The sequence below is a fragment of the Homo sapiens genome, chromosome 8, assembly GCF_000001405.40.
Source record: "Homo sapiens chromosome 8, GRCh38.p14 Primary Assembly".
Lineage (NCBI taxonomy): Eukaryota > Metazoa > Chordata > Mammalia > Primates > Hominidae > Homo > Homo sapiens.
Genome location: NC_000008.11, coordinates 60,484,303 through 60,493,326, shown reverse-complemented (window position 1 = coordinate 60,493,326; position 9,024 = coordinate 60,484,303).

The following is a 9,024-nucleotide window of genomic DNA, read 5'->3' as shown; positions in this document are numbered from 1 at the left end:
CCAAAGTCTACCACATCTAGTGAATCTTTCCTTTATAGCACTCAACATTGTTTGCAATTATATATTTGTTTGTGTTATTTACTATCTATCTCTCAATAGATACTAAAATCCATGAAAACAGAGATCTTTTTTAAAAATTTTGTTAACCATTGTAGAATGGAACCTAAAATGCAATTTAAAAGTTCTGAAGGCTGGTCATGGTGGCTCATGTCTGTAATCCCAGCACTTTGGGATGCCAAGGTGGGCAGATCACCTGAGGTTGGGAGTTTGAGACCAGCCTGACCAACAAGGAGAAATCCCCTCTCTATTAAAAATACAAAATTAGCTGGGAAAGGTGGCACATGCCTGTAATCCCAGCTACTTGGGAGGCTGAGGCAGAGGAACCACTTGAACCAGGGAGGCGGAGGTTGTGGTGAGCTGAGATTGTGCCATTGCACTCCAGCCTGGCCAACAAGAGCGAAACTCCATCTCAAAAAAAAAAAAAAAAGTTCTGAAGATGTCCAAGTGGCTGAGAAACTAACAATAGACACCATCATGCAAGGCTTGCAATAGGAATTGTTCAAAACTGGTCTGGCCTGTGTTGGCAGATTCATACTATTTTGGAGAGAGTTGCAAGTATGTTGTGTTTTCTCTCCCAGCATGGGAGAGGGGACTGAGGTACGTCTCTGTCACCTCAAGTCAAGTAAGTAGATTTCAAAAATGACTTGGAGAACTTAACATATGGCCCTTGGATTTGAGTGCACCATCCAGGGAGAAGAGCCAGAGATTGGGTTCAGTCATATGACCAAGGATTTAATCAATCATGCCTTCATAATGAGACCCCAATAAAAACTCTGGACACCTAGGCTTGGAGGAGCTTCCTGGTTGGTGAATACAGTGATGTGCTAGGAGGGTGATGCTCCCTGACTCCCCCAGGGGAGAGGCACTGAAGCTGTGTGTTCCCTCTCAGACCTTGCCCTATGTAGTCTTTTATTTTATTTTTAAAAATTTCCCGTTTTTTTCATATCTTGGTACCTATATGTATTCTTCACAATAAAACTATTATTTCATATGTAGCATGTTTCTGAGTTCTGTGAGTCATTCTGGTGAATTATCAAGCCTGAGATGATCGTAGGAACCCTCAAATTCACAGCCAGTCAGAGTATGAGTGGCCTGGGATCCCCTGAAACTTACAGCTGGTGAGAGCTATCTTGTGGAGGACTTTGACCTTAACCTGTGGGATCTGTGCCAACTCTGGATGGTTAGTGTCTGAAATGAATTGCAGTGCATTTGGTGTTGCCCCAGTTGGGATTGAAATGAAACACTGTGTAATTAGCCAGCCAAATAGTTGTTTGTTTAAAATAATTTAAAAATTGGGCTGGGTACAGTGGCTCACACCTGTAATCCCAGCACTTTGGGAGGCCAAGGCAGGCAGCTCACTTGAGGTCAAGAGTTCAAGACCAGCCTAGCCAACATGGTGAAACCTCGTCTCTACTAAAAATACAAAAATTAGCCAGGCATTTTGGTGCATGCTTGTAGTCCCAGCTACTCGGGAGGCTGAGGTTGGAGAATTGCTTGAACCCAGGAGGTGGAGGTTACAGTGTGCCAAGGTCATGCCACTGCACTCCAGCCTGAGCAACAGAGTGAGACTCCATCTCAAAAGACAAACAAACAAAAACAAATAAACACAAAATTGATTTCTCACAGTTCTGTAGGTTCCTTGGGCTCAGGTGATTTGTCCTCACTTTGAGCTCTGCTATGCAGGTGTGGTGAGATAGCAGCTGAAGCCTGGGCAGACAGTGCCTGGGCTGGGTTGGCTGGAGCAGCCTGGGTTGGCTGGGCATCTCTCTCTCTTCATAGTTAACCTGGCCTTTCTGACAGCAGTGTGATCTTAGTGCAGTCAGACTTCTTATATGGTGGCTGACTTCTCTGAGATTGAATATTCCAAGAGACAGGAAATGGAAGCTGCCAGTCTCTTGAGAACCAGTCCTGAAAATGAACATAGCTTCACTTCCTGTCAGGCTATTGGGCAAAACAGTCACAAAACCCACCCAGACTTGAGAGGGGACATAGAGCCCCACTTCTTGATGGAAGGAATATCAGATAATTTGTGGTCACATTTAATCTGCTTCATGTTCTTTTGGCATTTGACAGTGTTCACCACAAATGATAATGACTTCATGTGGCCTGGTTTTTCTTTTATCTCAGACTATTCTTCATTGATCTTCAATTCTGTGATTTCCCTCATTACTTAAACATCCCCTTCCCTTTTCTCTCTTATTACTCATTTACGCTCAATACCATAACCACTCTTATGACACCAATCAGTACCTTTAGGCTGATGATCTCCCAGATCTCTAAAGATAGTTTCTCTGGTCTTCTGACTCACATAGTGAAGGACCTTTACAATATCTGTTGACAGCATCTGAGCAGGCTTTGTGTCCTTTAGAGACACAACTTGAAGGTGGCAGGATCTTCCTTGTATTGTCCTAGGAGTGACCTGCTTCCATCCAACTGTGCCCACATTCATGGCAACCTGCACATTTACAAGATGACCTAGGTCATATAACCCAAAAATTCTATTCAAGAGCTGTGGGAAGGCTGATTGGCTATGTGAACAAGAATGATTTATGTGAACATTTAAAAAATACTTACTATGTGACCTGCATTTAGTGATTTCCAGGTCACTCAGCTATAAGAAGCACACACATGGGTGGCATGTTTCTATTAATTGTACTTTGTCATAATTATGCCTTATCATAATTGGACTTTTGTAGTTCAGAAATGAACATCTCTATCAGCCAATTTATGATCCACAGCACTCATTCCTATTTTAAAAAAGCACAGCTGGATCCTTTCTCACAAAGTATGCAGACATGACATTCAATAGTAAAAACAAGCTGGTAGTTGTTCCTGAAAACATACTTAAAAAGGGATATAAATTTGAAAGACTCAGTTAAAAAAAAAAGAAATAGACTATTGATATGGTTTGGCTGTATGTCCCCACACAAATCTCTTGTCGAATTGTAATTCCCAGTGTTGGGGAGGGAACCTGGTGGGAGGTGATTGGATCATGAGGCAGATTTCCCCCTTGCTGTTCTAGTGATAGTGAGTGAGTTCTCATGAGATCTGGTTGTTTAAAAGTGTGTAGCACTTCTCCCTTAGCTCTCTTTTTCCTGCCATCATATGAAGATGTGCCTGCTTCCTTTTCACCTTCCACCATTATTGTAAGTTTCCTGAGGCCTCCCCAGCCATGCTTCCTGTACAGCCTGTGGAACTGTGAGTCAATTAAACCTCTTTTCTTTATAAATTACCCAGTATCAGGTAGTTCTTTATAGCACTGTAAGAATGGACTAATAAAACTATGAACATTGTTTAAGTCATATCACTGGTTATTTCCAAGGTACAAGGACTTATGTTCTGGAATGGAGCATCAATGTAGTTTCTTTCCTAGAATTATGTTGAATTTGGGACTAATCTCATAATCAGTCTATTCTACAAGTATTTGAGTTTATGGATGTATCATAATTTGGCACCCCAAGTCTGATGCCATCTTCAGTGAAATTCAACAAACATTGATAAGGCTTTATGCTCAGTGCTGTGGAGGACAGAAAGATGCCTAAGGGGTTCAGGTTAATGGAAGGGAGAGGAGTCACAGGTAACTATAAGACTGAAGCTAGGAGTGAGTGCCAAGGAGGTATAGGCAGTGTTGTAGAGTGCAGGTGAATTGACTGCTGCTTCTCGTTTGAAAAGAGGGAGAGATGGGGAGAACATTCCAGGCTGGCAGAGGAACAGAGTGAAGGAGGCATGGAGCAGGAGAGCTCAGGCTGTGGTTGGGAATAAGGAGTGAACCCTTGGCTTGATCTCAGAGTATATATGGGTGACTACCAAGGAGAAAACTGAACAAAAGGGTGGGCTGGGATCATGGAAAGCTTCTTTCAGAGACAGATGAGTCATCCAGGCTTTGGAGCATAATTGGAACTTGCTCCCAGTGCTGTTCGATGACTGTATCTCTCATGGAGTACCATATCTTGAGCTCTTGATTGCATGGGTGTCTTGTCTCACTCTCCCTTTAAAATAAAAAACAAACAAAAAATCCATCTTTGACTGAATCCCCTTCTAGTAAGTTTTTCCCTAAATTGGCAAGCCAATAAGAAGAGGTTAGAATCCCTGTCTCTAATTTCTCCATCTATAATTCATTCTTTAAAATCCCTCAACTCCACCTCAATCAACAAAACCTACTTAAAAAAAATTATGGCCAAGTGCAGTGGCTCACGCCTGTAATTCCAGCACTTTGGGAGGCCGAGGCAGGCAGATCCACGAGGTCAAGAAATAGAAACCATCCTAGCCAACATAGTGAAACCCTGTCTCTACTAAAAATACGAAAATTAGCCGGACATGGTGGTGTGCACCCATAGTCCCAGCTACTCGGGAGGCTGAGGCAGGAGAATTGCTTGAACCTGAGAGGCAGAGGTTGCAGTGAGCCAAGATCACACCACTGCACTCTAGCCTGGCGACAGAGCGAGACTCTGTCTCAAAAAAAAAAAAAGAATTACATGAGATACATATTTAATAAAGAAAATTTTAAAAATACACATGGGCAAAAGTATAATGTTAAAATTCATGTGTCATCCAATGCCTCAAAAGTAATTATAGGTGAAATTTGTTGTTTTTATGTTCTATCCTCTGTAAATGTATTCATGTATTGTCTATCTGAGCATACAAAGCTGGACTTATGAAAATGAATACTGATCGATACTATATGACTTGCTTTACTTATCAATACTATATGACTACTATTCTATGTATTTAAATATTTTCTACAACTTCAGTTTTTTTTTTGTTTGTTTGTTTGTTTGTTTGTTTTTGAGACAGAGTCTTGCTCTGTCACCCAGGCTGGAGTGCAGTGGTGTGATCTCTGCCCACTGCAACCTCTGCCTCCCGGGCTCAAGTGATTCTTGTGCCTCAGCCCCCCAAGTAGCTGGGATCACTGGTGTGCACCACCATGCCTGGCTACTTCTTGTATTTTTAGTAGAGATGGAGTTTCACCATGTTAGCCAGGCTGGTCTCAAACCCCTGGGCTCAAGTGATCCGCCCACCTTGGCCTTCCAAAGTGCTGGGATTACAGGCATGAGCCATCATGCCCAGCCCTTCAATTTTTTTTTTTTTTTTGAGGAATGGGGTCTTGCCATGTTGCCCAAGCTAGACTGCAATGGCTATTCAAAGACATGATCATAATGCACTATAGCCTTGAACTCCTGGGCTCAAGCAATCCTGCTTCAGCCTCCCAAGTAGCTATGACTAGAGAGGCATGAGCCACCATGCCAGGATAATTTGAATTTTTTACAGGTCAGATTTATTAAGGTATAATTTACATACATTAAAACTGTTTTAAAGTGCTCAGTTTGGTGATTTTGACAAATACATACAGTCATGTGAGCACCACAGAAACCAAGTTACAGGACATTTCTGTCATCCCCAAATTCCCTTGTCCTTCCCAGCCCCTGGCAACTATGGATCTAATTTTCTTTGCTAGTTTTATCTTTCCCAGAATGTCATAGAAATGGAATCATACAGTATGCAGCTGTGTGTGTGTGTGTGTGTGTGTGTGTGTGTGTGTGTGTCTGGCTCTTTTTCACTTCAAATTAGGCTTTTGAGATACATTAATGTTGTTGAATGTACTAGTAGTTCATTTCTACTCACTGCTGAGTGTTGTTCCATTGTGCAGATGTGCCACAGGTGGTTTATCCATTCACCAGTAGATGAACATTTGAGTTGCTTCTAGATTTTGGCAATCATTAGTGAAGCTGCTATAAACATTTGTGTGCAGGTTTTTGTGTGGACCTACATTTTCATTTATTTTGGATAAATTCCTAGGAGTGAGGTTGCTGGGTCCTATGGTAAGTACATGTTTAGCTCTGTAAAAAGCTGCCAAACTGTTCTGGGGTGGGCAGATCTATGCAAATGTACCCCAAAGTCCAAGGAGGCTAAGAGACGGAAAAAAAGAGGCTGATAAACGCAGTTTCTTAGAAGGAAACATTTAATAGGGACTTACAAGCAGAAGCCATGCCTGTGCCTGGGGCGGCAGCAAGAAAAGAAGGTGGATCCCAGCACCATTACACCCAAGACCCAGGGCTTATATGTACCATAGAAGAGGGTGTTTCAGAAGGGATGTGTAGGACAAATAAAGTATGATAACATCAAGGTTGTTTGACCTAAGGGCAGGATTTACAGTAAGTACCTGCTCTGACACAAAGAACAATAGATAAGCTGGCAATCTTAGTGGCCTTTCCAGAACGGGGTTTAATCAGAAGCCAACGTGGCGGATTAACTTTCAAGATGGAGTTGCTTTGTTCTGCACACAAACTGTTTTCCAAAGTGCTGCTACCATTTTGTGTTCCTACCAGTAATGTAGGAGAGCTCTAGTTGCTCTACATCTTCACCAGCATTTAACAAAATTAGCCATTCTAGGCTGGGGGCAGTGGCTCACGTCTGTAATCCCAGCACTTTCGGAGGCCGAGGCAGGTGGATCACTTGAGGTCAGGAGTTCAAGACTAGTCTTGTCAACGTGGTGAACCCCATCTCTACTAAAAATACAAAAACTAGCTGGGGGTGGTGGTGCATGCCTGTAATCCCAGCTTCTCAGGAGGCTGAGGCAGGAGAATCACTTGAACCTGGGAGACGGAGGTTGCAGTGAGCTGAGATCATGCCATTGCACTCCAGCCTGGGCAACAGAGCAAGACTCCATCTAAAAAAGAAAAAAATTAGCCATTCTAGTACATGAGAAGTAGTATCTCATGGTGGTTGTAATTTGCATTTCCTTATGCCATTAACATCTCTTCTGTGATAAAAATGCCTGTTCAAATCTTTTGCCATCTTTTTTGGGGGGAGGGGAGTTATTTGTCTTATTATTGAATACAACCTTATTTTTATAATTATATAAACAGACTCAATGGTAATCTAGATTTGGAGACCATAACATTTATACAATTAGGAGAGCTCTCTTTAAGGAAAAGATTATAGAATTATTTGTATAAAATTTTAAGGCCCTCTTTCTTGGTATGTATTTGTTTTGTTTTGTTTTGTTTTGTTTTAGAGATCTGGTATTACTATATTGCCTAGAATGGACTTGAACTCCTAGGCCGAAGGGATCCTGCCATCTGAATTTCCCAAGTAACTGAGATTACAGACATGAGCCACCATGTCTGGCTCTCTCCCAGTGTATTGAAGGGGTCCATGCAAGTAAGGAGCCCAAAGCTTAATTTTTATTAGCTTCATGGTAAATCTGCTCTGGCTAGAACATAATTGGTATACCTAATACCCTATTATTGTACATTGAAGTTGTTTCTTTTTTTCTCTTTTTTTTAAACTTTTTAAATTTATCTTTTTATTTGTTTACCATTAAAACCCACATTCAGATGAATAGCTTATAACTAAATCTTGGCATAGATATATATTCACTTCCTTGAGATAATTTTCTAGTAGTAGAATAGCTGGGTCAAATGGTATGATCCTATTAAAAACTTGACACAAAAATTCATATTATTTACACTTCTTCTAACAGTATATGAGCATCCTTTTCACTCTCACCAATTCAGACTTTAATCTTTGCTTTTGTTTTCTAATAATTCCATCTCCCTTTGACTTCACTCAAGTTTCTACCTCCATTACGTCACTCAGACTGCTTGGTACATTACCAAAGACCAAAGACCAAAGACCAAATCCAGTGAGTTCTTTTCACTTTTCATCTTCTAATTTCTGTGTCATTTAATATTGTTGACCATTGCAGCATTTTGGGGGAAAGAGCAGGTACGATGTCTGTGGTTCTCCTGGGGTCTCTGGGGTCACCCTCCTTGCCCTGCTGCCCTGGCCCTCTCTTGCTTTGCCCCACCCTAAGAACCATAATCTCAGGGTTCTTCCTGGACTCTTTTTTCCTTTTCCTTCCCTTCCTACCTACCTACCTGTGCTGTCTAATTTTATGTATCAATTTGACTAGTCTATGTCGCTGCTCTACTTTGAGGTAATGCCTGCCTTCCCCTATACAGGCTGTGGCCATCCCAAGCTGCACATCAGGCTATTTTTTGGATATTGATGATACTGTTAAACTGAATGTCATGGCCCCTGTGCAAGGATGACACACAAGTTCATGAAGCATTCCATATTTTATAAATTTTTGAATTAAAATTGTTAAAAAAATAAACTGAATGTGTTCTCTGCCATCTTCACCCAAAATATCTGTCCAGTGACCATTTACTCATCTTTCAAGACTCAGAAGTCAGCTGTGGTACCAAGCCTTTTCTGACCTTCCCAGGTAAAATCAGTATTTCTCATACTCACTTTTTTGTTTGTTTATTTATTTTTTTGGAGACAGGGTTTTACTGTGTCACCCAGGCTGGAGGGCAGTAGCACAATCATAGCTCACTGAAGCTTTGTATTTCTGGGCTCTAGTGATCCTCCTACCTCAGCCTCCTAAGTAGCTAGGACTACAGGCATGCCACTACACCTGGCTAATTTTTAAATTGTTTTTATTTTTTAAAAAGACCAGTGTGGTAGTATAATTTCTTTAAATTTTTTATAGAGACAGGGTTTCACTATGTTGCTAGGCTGGTCTTGAACTCCTGACCTCAGCAATTCTCCTTCCTTGGCCTCCCAAAGTGCTGGGATTATAGTCGTGAGCCACCAAGCCCAGCAACCAGACTCACTTTGAACATAGCATCTGAGACACTTTATTGCACTTATTTATTTACATGTGTGGCATCTAAATAAATAGCAAATAATTCCTGATTAGACTGGGAGTTAATTTTTCACTTTTATATCCTGAGTATCCAGCACAGAGTCTGACTCAATACAGATGTATATTTGTGCCTGATGAATAAGCAAATGAATTAATTATTGTGGAAACAGCATTGTTCTAGGAATTCAGTTACACAAGTCCACTCCTAGATCAACCTATTACTTATTAATTTACTTGCTCTATAGGTAGTCTTGGGATTCACTGGAAAGGAGCTGGTAAAAACATGAGCAAGTGACAGAATTTGTGACTGT